Source organism: Homo sapiens, chromosome 14 (assembly GCF_000001405.40).
Source record: "Homo sapiens chromosome 14, GRCh38.p14 Primary Assembly".
Taxonomy (NCBI): Eukaryota; Metazoa; Chordata; class Mammalia; order Primates; family Hominidae; genus Homo; species Homo sapiens.
In genome coordinates this window covers 49282416-49297659 of record NC_000014.9, presented here as the reverse complement: position 1 = coordinate 49297659, position 15244 = coordinate 49282416, and the positions used below count along the sequence as shown (strand labels likewise).

Here is a 15244-nt window from a genome sequence, read left to right as displayed (position 1 = left end):
CTTTTCTCATGCCTGTTTATTACTGAGATGGTCACACACGGAGAGCGGGTCTCCCTGCCTATAGACTGTTCCTGGGGCACTTTCCTAGTTTTTTTTCCAGCGTGATTCTGATTTCAGCCTACTTGGCCAATGTTACTTCTTATTTGTATTCCAGGGAGAGAAGTCACCTGGCTGTTGGCACTCCCCACTTGGCAGAGCCACTTAGTGGCTTCTGAAGAGAGAGAGCCTCAGGAATATCAGCCATTCTTCCAGAGATGCAGGGAAGGTGGAGTGAGGGGCATGTGTCATCTCATGACTAGCTATGAATTTCCCTGCAGCTGCTTTCCCGGCCCACTGCTGCTTCCTGCATCAAGCTGGTGCCCTGCAAACCAGCTTGCACCTGCACTTCTTGAGAGGCGGAAGCTGTTGATGAGGAGGGGCAGCCAAGGCCGGCTCAGGCAGCCAGAGTGGGCTCAGCCAGCCTGGCTCCAGATCCACCAGGCTGTAGGCAGCTGTGGGTTCTCCACTGTCATGGCATCTTGCCATTCAAGCTTCCTGAGAGAGGAAAGGATGGAGAGAGAGAACTGACGTGCTAATCAATTTTGGTGTTGTCACTTCTGTTTGGGACACTGTTTGGAAAAGGCCACTAGTGCATGACCATGTTTAGAGCTGAACATGTTTTCCCAGGTGGGTTAGTTTCAACTTCAGCATGGGCTTCTGCTCTCTCCAAGTGCTACCTGTGTAGGCTCTGGTCTTTGTGGGCTTAGGACTCTTTGGGGTAGGGACTGAGACTTGTTCCTGTACCACAGTGTCATATTCAGGCACATATAGGAGTCAGGGAGAATAATAAAAATTTGTTGAATGAATGAATTTTTTTTGAATGAATGAATGACAAACACCATTCATCGGAATTTATTTTACTATATATATATTTTTTGAGGCAGTGTCTTGCTCTGTCACCCAGGCTGGAGTGCAGTGGCACAAACTCTCACTGCAGCCTCTGCCTTCTGGTTCAAGTGATTCTTCTGCCTCAGCCTCCTGAGTAGCTGGGACTACAGGTGCGTGCCACCACCCTGGCTAATTTTTTTTTTTTTTTTGTATTTTTAGTAGAGATGGGGTTTCACTATGTTGGCCATGTTGGTTTTGAACTCCTGACCTCAAGTGATTGTCCCATCTTGGCCTCCCCAAATGTTGGGATTACAGGCGTGATCCACCATGCACAGCCCATTCATTGGAATTTATTAAGAAGTGTTCTTGAAAAAAAAAGGTATGAGAATAGTGGGGAAGTTGGACAGGAAAGGGAAAGAAGCCAAGAAAGTGTACAAAAGCAAGCAAAGTCTCCCAGAAGCTAACTTTAGTTCAATTCCACAGAAGAGCTTTTGAGATAGCAGCAATCACACTTCAGTGTTGTCCAGAACAGGCAAGAGGTCACTGAGGTATTTACACCCAGTACCGTCCAGCATTAAGAGCTGCTCCCAAGGGCATCAATTCTCATCCTTTCCAGCTTTGGGTATGTGATGGCAGAGCTGTTCCTGCAGCCTGCGGGCAGCCTGCTGATAAAAAGACACAGGTGCTGGCTGTGGGGAGTGAAATTGCACTAGAATTTGGTGTATACAGATATCTTGATACTTAAAGATTGGTCTTTGGGTTAGCAGCAGTAGCACAACTTGAGGATGCATTAGAAATTCAGAGCCTCAAGCCCCATCCTGGAGTTACAAAATCCTAATACATAATATAACAAGATTTCCCCAGGTGAGTTTTTAAAGCACAATAAAGTTTGAGAAGTGCTGTGGTGAAGGGAGCCAGGAGATTGTGTGGTGTGCTGACATCTGTTACAGGGCAAGGCCTCATTAATAATTCTCCAAACTTGGAGAAACTGCCTACCAACTTATTTCTATGAGGAAAAGTGTGCGCAACATGTGGCTCCTCCTGGGGGTACTAACAGTAGAACAGGGATTGATGCCTTAAAAACAAACAAATGAACAACAGTAACAACAAAATTTCTCATCCTTGAAAATTGCAGTCACCAGGACATCAGTATTTGGCTGTTTAAGAAACAGACTACTAAATACAGTAAGCTTTCCTTAGGCCAAGACCATAAGCTCTTTATATAGGCTAACCTGTTCAATTCTCACAATAGCCTTGAAGTGGTACTTTTATAATCACTACTTCCATTTTACAGATGAGAAAGTAAAATACAGAGAAGTTATTCGTTCTAGTCACTCAGTATATGGTGGATCTCAGAATCAATTTCAAGTCTCTTGGCTCTAAGTGATTCTTGGCTTGTATTCTGTAATTGCCTCTTGGAGGAGGGTGGGAGCTGATTGGGACTGCTCCTAGAATTCTTAAATTACATACGCTAGCTACCTTGACTGCCTATGAACAAAGTAATCTGGCACTTTACTACCTCCCCTTTAAATGGCTTAATTTCAGAAGGTATTGCTTCTTCTTCAAATACTCTTAAATTTTCTGAGATAGAAAATTATTCAAGCCTAAGGTGGCACTAATGCAGTTGCTGCTGGAAACTCTTTGCACTGGGCCTGGAGGTCAGGTTCACAGTCCATCTGGTCAGATGCTTGCAGGGGCTGATGTGTGCAGAAATGGCCTGCCTCCAAGCCTTGGAGGCTCCCAGGAGAAGCTTTCCATAGGGATGGGCAAGTGCTTACAGAAGGGAGGGCTCCCTTACTCTCACTCCTCTTGCCAGAACTCAAACATAGCTCCCTCACCCTGTCCCCTAGAGGCATAGAATGCTAATGCAGATGTTCTTTGAAACAGTCAGGGAAAAGGCTCCCCGAGTGTATAGCATGAGCATTTTCTGCATGGCCAAACTGGCTCGCAACTGGCCTGTGTGCTGGGAGCCTAACAGGAAATAAAGGTGAGAGGAGTGAAGCACTTGATACCACTGCACATGCTGAAGAGGGCCGTAGGGGAGCCTCTTCTGTCACCTTGGTTTAATTAAGGGTGGATGGAGGAGGCCTTTCTTCAAGAAAATGCCAGGAGTGTCTAAGGGATTTTCGAAGTAGGCGGCTCATTTGCAGCACAAGGAAGAATGATTTCATTCCATTGAGTAAATAGGCAGGGAGATGAAGAGCAGTGGTGACTTTTAATTTCACTTTAAGGAGATTACGGAAAGCAGTATGGTAATGATCCCTGAGAGGCAGCAGCATGCCAGTGGACTCATTCTTAATGTCAGAGACTTTGCTTATATATAAATCTTATTATTTGTCTCTCTTCAACCACCAGTGGGTTGTGCAATCTGGATCCCATTACATTGCCTCAGTTCTTCTGTGAGAAAGATGGAATTATTTCAGTCTTCTGATGATTCATGGGGCTCATCTGGGAAAGAAACTAGAGGGGCTTCCTTCACAAACATTTCCTGACCCCCTGCAAGGCTGGTAGGACATGGCCTTTGCTCCTGAGCCACTCCCAGCCCAGGGTTGCCCACCTGTTTGACTTTGGAGACAGAGGAAGTGTTAACTTTAGTTAGTATTTTCTTTTGATTAGGTTTTTGCTGCTTGGCTAAAAGGTCCACACTGTTGGTGGAAATCTCTGCTTTCTGTTTTGACTGTGCTACCCTGGGTTCATCTCTTTTAGATTGTGTGAAAACCCTGGTGATGCATCTTTGAATGGGGAGGAGAGGTTTTGCTGCCCACTTATCTTTCTGTCCATCTGGTAACTCTCCATTGTTTTCTCAAGTCTCCTCCAGAGGGGAGGCGAAGAATAAGTGCCTTGATTTTGCAGCTTTTTCTTTCCTAAGGGCCTGCCTGGGAAGGGTATTGCTTCTTGTTTCCCTCAATTTCTAGGCTACTTGAAGTAGAATCATGCAATGAATTTACGTAAACCTGGGCGCCTGGCTCTGCAGGCACTTTCTCGTAATGAATTACCCCCCACTCCTGAATTCAGTATGAGAGTGAATGGGCCTGTCATACAGACTCCTGAGGCCTTTCAGTTGTGGCCTCTCCATCTCTTATTTCCTGTATCACTCAAAGTCCAACCAGGAAAACAGAAATTACTGTGTTTAAAACAACGTGAATTTAATGCAAGGAACTGGTTATGATGGCAAGAACTGGGTAGTCATGTAGAGGACAGTAGGTACTCTGGAGATTAGAAACAGTGAGAGGTTGCTATACCATCCCTGTCTGCAGGAACAAAGGAAGAAGGAGGTGTTACTGGAGCCCATGGGTTGGGGTCACTGATAGTTGTCCGTTCAGTGGGAGCTGGGGTAGAGGAGAAATAGCTTCTGCTGGAGATGCTACCCAAGACAGAGAGCGGCAGAAATACTCTGGCTTCTCCTTTCCTCCCTCCAGTCTCATTAGTGCTCCTGCTGGCCAAATCCAACTGGAAGGCAGCTGAGGAGGGAACATGGGAATGATCCTGCAAGAGTTAGTCCTTCTGCATTACAGAGTTAGGTGGGGGAAGGCTGGGAAGAATTTAGGAACAAGGTGTCTAGGGCATAGCACCAGGAACCTCACTTGTAGGGTCTTCCCAAAGTCCCAAAGCAGTTCCAGCACTCTGATTATGTGCACACTTCCTCGTGTGTGTTTGCAAACCCGACATAAATGGTGGTGTGAGATCTTGGTTGTTTGTTTGGAGAAGTTCAGGGACTGTCATCTTTCTTGGTCGCCTTTCATGACCTTCATGTTCTAGTTCCTATTTGTTCTTGTTTTTCCACTACCTTCACATCTTCGTACTAACTAGCTCAGATCTGATCTGCCAATCTGCACAAGGTCTAATTTCATCCCAACTAATTTGGCCCCTATTTCTCTTTGCATTTCCTTATCCCCTCCTTGGTCATTAGGAATAATTTTCTTTGATAAGGTAATTGAGATGCTGGGCATAATTTATCAGCTATCATGGCTGTATTAGGATTCCATATTAATGAAGACACAGTGGTAAGACTGTTATTCCAGTTCCTGTTAAATCCAAACTCACTCACTGCATTGACACTGAATGGCAGTAAACTACCATTCATTAAACTCACCAAGCTTATATTATTCTCCATAGAGACAGCTGGAAAATTATCCTTGGGTGCCACAACACTAATTTTAATTTTAAAGAAATGAGCCATGAACTGCTGAAAATAATAATTCTCAATGACGACACCTGAGAGGCTGTTGTGGTTATCAACCAATATATTAATTTTAATCTCTGGTTTCCAAGCAGCAGAAATTCTCTTGCTAGTTATATAAGAAATGTGTTAAGGCATGGCCCATACAGCTATAAACACAAAAAGAGTTTTTGAAAAAAAAAATGGCTCTCCACTTTGCTGAATAGGTTGCTGATGATCTTTTTACAGGGTCTTCGCATTTGGAATGGTAGGGAGTTGACCAGTTGTCTGTCTTTCTGATATGAATATCCCACTGGCAGCACTAATATTCTTGCTTTAGGAGAACTTTATTTCAAAAAGATGCTATTCTTCAAAAACTTTGTGTTTCTTGTTTGGATTTGTGTACTTGTGTTCTTTGAGACTGAAAGAATTTGTTTTGCAATCAAAGCAAATATTCTACAATACACTACTAACAAGTAACATCCATGGCTAGTTTCTGACATACTTTCAGATAAAAAAGCTAAAAAGACAATCACTTCTGAATTCCAAAGGAAAATGAGTCAGCATTACATTTTAATTTCAACTTATCACCACCATGACCATCACGACCCATTTGCCTGTTTTTACATTTTATGATAATTTGCCCTTTGTTTTGTTTTGTTCAGGCTCCCTTAACATGGTGGAGCAGACTCTTCAAATATCTTCACAGTGATAAACTCTGGTTCCAATTCCTATGGCCCCCTATTCAACTGTTCCATAAACTACATGATGAATTGTATTAGGGAGGCTGTGCAAGGCCTGAACAGCGTTGAGTTTAGCCCTAAATGGTTGCAGTTTTAGTGTGTACCATGAGGCTCCTTCAGCCAAGGAGGTTGAAAGTCTTCTAATAACCTAAATCCCTAGAGCAGAAGGAGAAGAGCCAGCAGTTGCTTATTCTCTTAATTCTTTAAATTCCTTTCTTTTTGCATCTTGGAAGAACTCTCCACGGTACTAACAGTCAAAGCACTGAGGAGAAGATTTATTTCTCTTCACAAAGATCAGGTGGTTCAATCAGAAGCAAGTGGCCACTGGAGATTTGGATGAGTTTGGTAAGCAGCTCTCTTTTGAAATCAGTGCTTTGTTCCTCCTTCCTCCCTCCCTTCCCTTCCCCTGACTACAGGTTGCACTGCTTTCCTTGAGGAGATAAGATTTTGCATAGAAAGTTTGATTTGCTTCAGAAATCATGACTTTGCAGCTGTAGAGAATCTCATGAGTTCCATTGATTGCCCTTTCAGTCAGTCCTACAAATAGTTCTAGAAGCATTACTAGTTTTCTTCCCATATCGGAGGCCAAAATATAAGCCAATGCCCAAGATAACCATTCTTTAAAATTTCTCCCAAACATAGATTCTAAACTGTTTGAAAATCCATTTCTTCTAAGAAAAGAAGCCAGACCAAAAAATATGTATTATTAGCATACTAACTCAGTTCAGATCTCTCATGCTCTATTTCTTCTAGATTCCATAGGTTAGAGTTATGAGTTATTGAGGACACAGGGAGTCTAATAATTATTAATGTCCCCTGTAGCACTCAGGACAGGTCTGAGTATAGAGCAGATACTCGGAATATGTTCATTAACTTACTAGGTCTGATTTCATGGCATTTGGAGATCAGGATTCTATTGGTTAGGATGCTACATTTTGTGAGTAAGAAAAGACCCAACACAAATTAGCATAGAGAAGAATGATTTTATTAGCTCCTGTACCTGAAAAGACTCCATGAGGGCTTTAGCTCTGTGTTTCTGCTTTGTTTCCAGTTGGCTTTATGAGATGGCTGCCTGCCTCAATCACAGAATAGAGTCCCAAGTTCACCCATGTCTTTATCCCCAGAGATTCAGTTTCAGTTGAGCTTAGGTGAGGCTCAGGAGTTGGTATTCTTTAAAAGTGCCTCAGGGGATTCAAGTGTGCAGCTAGGGCTTAGAACCACTGCTCTAGGGATATTTATCTAGGCTAAGGTGACCCAGTAAGATTTTGTCTCCTTGGAGTTTGAAATCTGGAATGGGAATACCCAGAAACTGAGTGTTCCTGAGGCTGAGTCATGCTGATGATAGTCATTTATAAAGAGGACCTCTAAATTCTCCTATTGAAGTTTGATTTACCTTGGTCCCAATTCTTCCCACTTCTTGGTCATTCGCTTGATTCTGTGAGATACCGTAGTGCTTATCCATCTATCCAACCATCCACTCAACAAACATTTATTCAGTATCTAGCTAGTTGCTCTCTCCTGAATTTCATCTAAAGAATCTATGAAAGTTGTTTAAAAGTCTGACTTGGGTGAAATTTTACAAACTGTTGTCCCAGCTCTTATATTGATAGCTCCCAATCCTTTCTTATTATTTGGTTTTACTTTCTTCAGCTTTTAAAAATACATTCACTGTTTTGTTTTGTACTGTGTCCTACTGTTACCCAACTTCTTTCCTGTCTGAGCATTAGCATCCCCAAATCTAGAGACAGTTTGGAGTAGTGATTACCAGCATGGACTCTCAAGCCAGACTGTCTGGGTTTGACTTCTTGCTCCTCTTACAAGATACCTGGTTTCGTTTTGAAAATGATAATTCTTTTAGTTCTTTCAGGCTGCTGTCACAGAATATCATAGGCTGGGTGGCTTATAAACAACAGAAATTTGCTTCTCACAATTCTGGAGGCTGAGAAGTCCAAGATCAAGGTACCAGCAGGTTCAGTGTTTGGCATGGGCATGCTTCCTGGCTTATAGACAGCTGTTTTCTTACTGTGTCTTCTCATGGCAAAATGGGTCAGGGATCTCTCTAGGGTCTCTTTTATAAGGGCACTAATCCCATTCATGAAGGCTCCTCCCTCATGGCCTAATTACCTCCCAAAGGCCCCACCTCCTAATACCATAATATTGGGGGTTCAAATTTCAACATGAGTTTTAGGGGGGAACACAAACATTCAGTCTATCGTAGTGTTAATAAAAGTGCCTAACTCAGGCCAGGTGCTGTGGCTCACGCCTATAATCCCAGCACTTACTCATAAGGCTGTGGCAAATCAATAATCCAGGAAAAGTATGTGTCACTTTCTCATGGAATACTGAATGAGTGATGGCAATTATTGGCATAATCATTAGGTGTTTCTGTTGCTTAGAGCAGGTATATCTATTGTTTCTGCAAAGGGTCTGTCTCTGTGGCAACTGCTCAACTCTGCCATTGTAGTGTGAAGCAGGCTTCGACACTATGTAAGCAAATGAGCATGGCTGTGTCCCAGTAAAACTTACATAAGTGGGCTGGATATGGCCCATGGGCCATAGTTTTTCAGGATCTGGCATAGAGCAACAGGAGCTACAAGTGTGAATTAATATAATTGTGGAGTGAGGCTCTTAATATTGATAGTCGTGGCTTATTGAAACTTGTAAGAAAACTTCTATTATTTTCAGAATGAATAAAATTCTGGGAAGAGAAAGGATGGGTCAGGACTCTAGTTTTAGCAGGATTTTAGGTCATAAAACATAGGTCTCATTATTACCAATATGCATTTATCACCTATACTTGCTAGCTATGGGGAATAGGAAGGTACATAGGGCTGAGTCCTCAATGGGAAGGGCTTCTTTTTCTTTTTCTTTTGATCTGCTTCATGTGACAGGTGTGGGTTTTAATGTTGACGGTGTAACTAGGATTCCTGGAAAAGACAATTGTGGAACCAAAGTTTTCTTATGGGAAATTATTTTATAAGGATAAACATTCTTCCTCTGAGGCACTTGTTTAGCCATGTAGAAGCCATTCAGGGGCTATGCCTAGAGAGGAATTGTTTAAGGACCTTCCAGCATGTAGTTACAGTTTCATTTTTCAGTGCAGTGGAGCAAGGCTGTGAAGGTTTACTCTGCATTTAGAGGGGAAAAATGTGACACTTCGCCATCCCATTGATCAAGAGCTTGGCACTTTTGTGGGCAGCAGGGAGACTTGTAAAGAAGACAAATAAAACCTCTGGGAACAATAGTGATTCACTCCCAGAGAAGTTCTTGCCCAGCTGTATACCCTCATTTCCAGGAGTATAAAATCAGTACTGTTTCCTGCAAAACAAGAAAACCCAAATTGAAATACCAAAGTGAGACAGGGAGAGAAGGAGATGGGGAAAGAGGGAGAGAGACTTGGGGAAGAGATGCTGAGAGGTAGAAACAGGGGGAGAGAGGCTAGGAGAAGGAGACAGAAGTCAAAAGACAGAATTCTTCCTCATTCCCTGAGCCCTCTTTCCTCACAGATGGAGACAGAACGAGAGGCAGAGGCACAGAGAAAAGTAACTCAGAAAGAAAGGCAAAAGAAAGAGGAGGCTATTGGTCTTCAGGGGTGGGAAAATAGGATATAGTTTACTGGGACACTTGAATTGAATTTTCATCATTTAAGGCTTTATCTTACAGGGGAGCAGTTTACTTTGCTACCTGGTGTCTCAGAGGGAGATGCACAGACAGGTAATGGCCATAGGATCGCGTCTGTAATGTGCCCGTGCACTCATCCATCCTGTTTAAAAAGCTAGCTCATTGGTAAAATCATGGTCCCCCTGAGGCCCTGAAGTTCATAAAATAATATTTATTCAGTAATAGCTAATTCTTTTCTCTGGTCAGCAGGTATCATTTCTTAAGGAAAATGTTCAGGATGGAAACCTAAAATACCTTGAGCTTCTCTGGCATCAGGTGAGAACCATGGGTATGTACTGCTTATAAAGAATAGACTTTTAACAGAAATCTTGATTGCGTGAAGAGAGCACTATTTTGCTGGGCTCAAGTTTTCTTTCTTTCCCTGTGTCTTCACTTATGGAGAAAGATTTTTATGTTGTTTTGCTTCAACCAACAGCAACTTGCTGAGTTTTTTTCTTACAGATCTTAAAATTTAATATGAACTAGCTTTTTGACTTTTGCCTGTGGAAAGGGTAGGGGAGAGGGTGATGAGGAGAAATAATTTGCTCTAAGGCAAGTGTAGAGAAATCTGAGATTATAAGTAGTGCAGTGTGTTTTTTAGGTACACTTTGGGAGTTCCAAAAAGCTTTTGAGGGCCTTGATGAAAATTTTTGGATTGACAATTGTAAAGGTGAGAAATTTTTGTTTACTCATGGAACAGATCCATCAAGATAGTGGCAAATGTTCATAGGCCATAGGACACGAAAGACATCAGCCTATACCTAAGAGAATCTAGACTCTAGCCAATAAAGGATTTCAATAAAAAGTGACTGTGGTATTTCCTTGGGCTACAGACCTTACTTCTGTTAGAGCTATGTTGCAATTTGATTCTAAACCGTGGCTGAAGTCTGCTTTTCAGAATGGAATGAGTTATATAAGAGATACTGAATAACTCACTTGGAGTTGTTCTCTGTCTCTTATGTACTTATGTACTGGAGAACTGCGTGCTGTGGTCTGTGCCTTGGGATGTGTCAAGGCCATTTCTATGACGTGGCAAGAGGATAAAGAGTATTTGAGTGGAATCAAGTGTGTGTGGACGCTGTTTGAGGACAGAAAGCCAAACTCAGATGATTGTTTGGGGCTGGAATGACTGTTCCTGGTTGGAATTGTTTTGCATTGAGTAACTGACACAAGCAAAAAGGAGTGGTAGGAGAGAGACAAGGAACGTTTTCATATTTGGAGAAATGGTATAAAAGCTCTTGGAAATGAGACAATAAAAGCAGGTTTGAATCTATCTACTCTTCTGTAGTGACTCAGAATATTTCAAATTTCCGCTGTATGCTGTGTTGTCTCATTAGACTGCCACAGAATATCCATTCAGGATATTCACTTCATCAACAGTGAAATGAAGATTAGATCTTTCTTCTGCCTTCCATTATCCCTGAGAACTGTCAGGGTAGATGTCCATCTCTTCCTGGAAATGAAATGCACACTACCTGCTTAATAATTAACCTCTAGAATGTCATGTGAAATATCTGAAAATTAACTCCTTGGCTCTGGAAATCAGAATTTGTCCAAAAAAGACATCCTAAACTGAGCAAAAATTTGTTCATTGCTTCTGAATCAACAAGAAATTACAAACATGAGCCTGGCTACAAAAAGGATTGGCAAACCAAATTAATTTCTTTTGAGCTTTGTGATGGTCTATATAGCAGCCATCCCTGCCTTTTCTTTTGAAAATGATATAAGTGACATTCTTTTCTTCTGAAAAGACAGGGATATAAGTGACATTAATGACTGCCAATAAGGATCCTTGTCATATAATCCAAGCATTATTCCCAGACACTTTTCTTCATTGACTTGCATATCCTAATTTCTTACAAAATTATTCAAGCAGGAGATATTATTTTATACTCAATTAAAAGCTGTGGATATTTATAATGGGAAGAGTTTCCTACCTTTAACTGTTTTTGTATTCATGTACCATTGCACACTTTTATTTATAAATAAAATATTTGTTTGTGGGGTCTGATACTCTTTAGTCAATATGGAAATAATGCCAGAGTTCTTTATTCTTAGAACCTACTCATATCAAATAACTGCTTGTACCATTGTAAAGAAAATGACCCCATTAGTGCTCCTGGGAAGTCCCTTTTTGATGCCATGTTTGGGATTAACTGTCAGAAATAAAGGACACACTTCAGTTATAACCTCAAGGTGCTTATAGGTTGGGGGGTTTCTAGTGACCACTGGCCACCGTCACATTGTTGCTGGAAGGTTATGCATTTCTAATGGCATGGAAGATATTTTTGCTCTCCTATTTTAAGCACAAGTCTCTGCTGTCCAGACACCTATTTTAGTTCAGTAACTAACTAGTTGCAAGAGCTCTTGAACCTGGTCTTTTGGTGCTTCTGAATCAGCAGGTGCTATGATCACAGATATGTAATAGTAGGATGAGATAAAAATGCCAATGAATATAAATCTGGTAATACTGGATTGGTGTCTCTTCTTTGCATTTGGCATAAAAGGACTTGAATACTCAGGGTGAAAACCCTGAAAGATGTCATATCTGATGCCTGATCCTTGAGGTGATGTTTGAAGAAAAGATTAATAGAGACTCATGGGACTTTAATTTTTCCCTTTTATCCTCTTTAAATGGTAAAATGGCATAATAAGAAACATAAACCTGCCAAGAATGTGGCATTTGCTAAAAGAAACTATTGGTGTCAAAATTAATCAAACACATTTTCCTTCCCCATTCAGATTGGGGTGTATCCTGGTCGTCTAACTCACACTTACTCGCCTCTGATGTGACAATGTCCCCTTGCTACAGTGGGCCAAGTTTCTCTGTTTCTGAATTCAAGAGGCTTTGTTAAAATTCTAATAATTCCTGGATTGATAAGAAGCTCTAAGCTCCTTGAAAGCCAGTATGTTTATAAGTTCATTTTCTTTACCTTTCTGCGAACTAGGGAGTGGAGAAAATTGAAAATAATCTTAGAGAAAAATGAATCATACTATATAATACACGGTGTACTTAAAGTTATAAACAAAAGTTTACCTTTGAAAGTTAATTCAAATACTTTCTTCTCTGAAGTCATTCCTGATATTCTACTTCCCTGACTTTCCCGCTCTAATAGATAGAAGTGAGTTCTCTCTTCCCGACACTTCCCAAGCCAGCAACCCTTCAATAATGCTTAGCAAACATAGCCTGCTGAATATTACAATGATCTGTTTGCATTTTATGTCAAATCCTAAGCTTCTTAAGAGAGTTTTGTTTTATTTTTACATTTTCTCAAACAATCCAAAATGGTGCCTGGTCATAGTAAATTACATAGTAAATTCACATAGTAAATTCACAATAAATATTGAATAAGTTGATGGAGATGGTTTCTACTTCTGAGTATTTTGAAACAGCTCTTCAGTTTTCTGCTTAAGATGCAGATTTATTCAAAAGATGTTTACTATTCTATGTGCCAGGCACTGTGCTAAGTACTGGAGATACAACAGTGAATAAAACACAAAATCTTCCTTTGTGGCAAAAAAACAAAAAAAACCTAAATACATATAATTTGAGATGGTGACAGGAGTTAAGGAGAAAAATGAATCATGAAAGAGACATAGAGGTTGCAGGAGGGTGTTCAGGAAAGGCTTTCCTGCTAAAGTGGCAGTCAAGGACAGTGGGGGAGGAGAACGGATAATCTCCTAGGCTGGGGGAACAGCAAGAGTGGCCTGAGGTGGGAATGGGCCTGGAATGTTCAAGAAAGAGTGAGGGGACTGGTGTGTAGCTGCAGCCCAGTGACGGAGGGTAGAAGGAGCTGAGGCCAGAGAGGTAGAAGGGGTGAGATCAGAGAGGATCTTGTAGGCAACTCCAAAAATTTGGGATTCTACTTTGAGATGAAAAGCCTGCTGGAAAGTGTTGAATATAGGAGCGGCATGAGTTGACATATAGGGAAAAATTTTGTCAATGATGAAAGTTGTGTTTTGTTTATCAGAAGTTTTGACATCATCTGTGAACGTGATTTTACTCTAAGGTGGAAGGCAGTTTAATGGCTTTAGGAACCTTTGATTTGAAAGCATTCTTAGTCATATGCAGCATTTCTAAACTTATTTAAGTGGAGTACTGCAACCAATGTGGGTATACTGTTATGATTCTGAAGTTAATATATGTAAAACCCGTATTTTATGGCCTACATTTTAGTAAATCTTGTTTTTCTTAATCGAAGCTTTACTGATGCACTACCTTGAATATGTTTTTGTTGCTCCCAAACTTACCTAACACGGAGCTTCAGCTCTCTGATGTATACAGTAGGCACCATGATGGAACTTCAGCTCTCTGATGTACACAGTACATGTATTGGAAGTAAACTCTCACCAGGCTGGAAGCCATTGTAGACCAATGGTCATCACAACACTTTTTAGATCTTGTGCCTCTATCAGTAAAATATTTTTGAACTTTCTATCCACAATCTACATATGCTTATTTATCATTTCTATAAATGTACTACAATAGCTATGTATGCTTATTGTAAAACATACACTTAAATAAATTTAAAGGATGTCATGAATATAAAATAAACACATTAAAATGATATTTTATTGTATTTGTTTATAGTTATAAAATATTTTTGTTCTCATCCAAGTATTAGTACCATTTTTAAAGGAGAGCAATATACTTTAATATGGTTTATTTGTTTTTAAACGATTAGTTTAAAATTTTGCAGTGAAGCAATTAGAAGTTGTATTTCTACCTCGAGTTTATCTTGAGACTTAGTTTTCAATTATTATCATAGTTGAAACATATTTCTGAAAACATCCAAGTAGGAGGAGTGCATTACGGACTTCACAATCATGTAAGTCAATTTTCAATCTAGAATTCATCTTGCAATGGTTTTTGTTGAAATATGGCTAGCAAATTTCCATCTTCTGTGATCTCAATCAGATGTTCTTGCAAAACTAATTTGAAGATAATGCATTTTAATGTTTTTAACAAAGGCATTCAAAACCCACTGAAACTCTCCATTTGGAAGATTTAAAAACAGCAGAGAGGGAGTGTTTAGAGTGTATACTTACAGTGTTTTCCTCAACAAAATCATATAATGATGGAAACATTTCCAAACGTTCATTTTCACAATGCTCTTTCTATAGCATGAATTTCTTTTAAAAAGAAGTTGCTTTGTTGCTTATTGTTAAAACATCTAATTTACCTTGAAGGAACCGATTAAATGTGTAGCTGGCAAAGAGCTTGTACTGAAGGTAGAAGTGTCAGCTTTGCCATTGCTCTCTTCTTATTTTTTTCACTTGCATTTACATTATTAATCCATTGGATTCTTTGCAGAAATATCTTAAAGCCATAGCAGCGTTTGGTGAGAATTAGTTTGATTAAAATTAAGTAACATGATCTGTGAATCCACTTTGCTGGGCACATGCAAACTGTGATGTAGAGCCAAATGCTGAAAACCAAAGACAAAGAGAGGGCAGGCTGGCAGCTTCTCCCACTCTGTGATAGGGTACATCTAGATCAGTGATGTCTGACTACCTGGCTATTGGACACATGCACTGAGTGAGGGTGCCAGAGCTGGTCTGTACATTAGATATTAGTAGAGCTTGGTTTCTTTCTCTATTTATAGATTAAAATATAAACAAATGTAAATGCCCTAATATTTTTTTCCAGCACTCCAAAGGATCATCTTGCACACTCCTAAGGAATTATGCACCTCCTGTGGAAGGCTATTATATTAGATGCTGGCATTTTCAACTTGGGAGATTGAAAGTCCTTATGAGTCACAAAGGGTTAAAAAATCTTGCTGTTTCATCCTTTGAAAGATCCCATCAATAA

General features: G+C 40.4%; 1 long non-coding RNA gene across 3 annotated transcripts in view; it reads left to right on the top strand.

Annotated features, from left to right (window-relative positions):
* Positions 1-9636: 9636 nt before the first annotated feature.
* Positions 9637-15244, top strand: part of LOC105378178 (uncharacterized) — an 894025-nt gene continuing 888417 nt past the window's right edge. For all 3 annotated transcript variants that reach the window (XR_007064152.1, XR_943837.3, XR_007064153.1), the window contains exon 1: positions 9637-9705. This is a non-coding gene — a long non-coding RNA (uncharacterized LOC105378178). The remainder of the gene's footprint in view (positions 9706-15244) is intronic.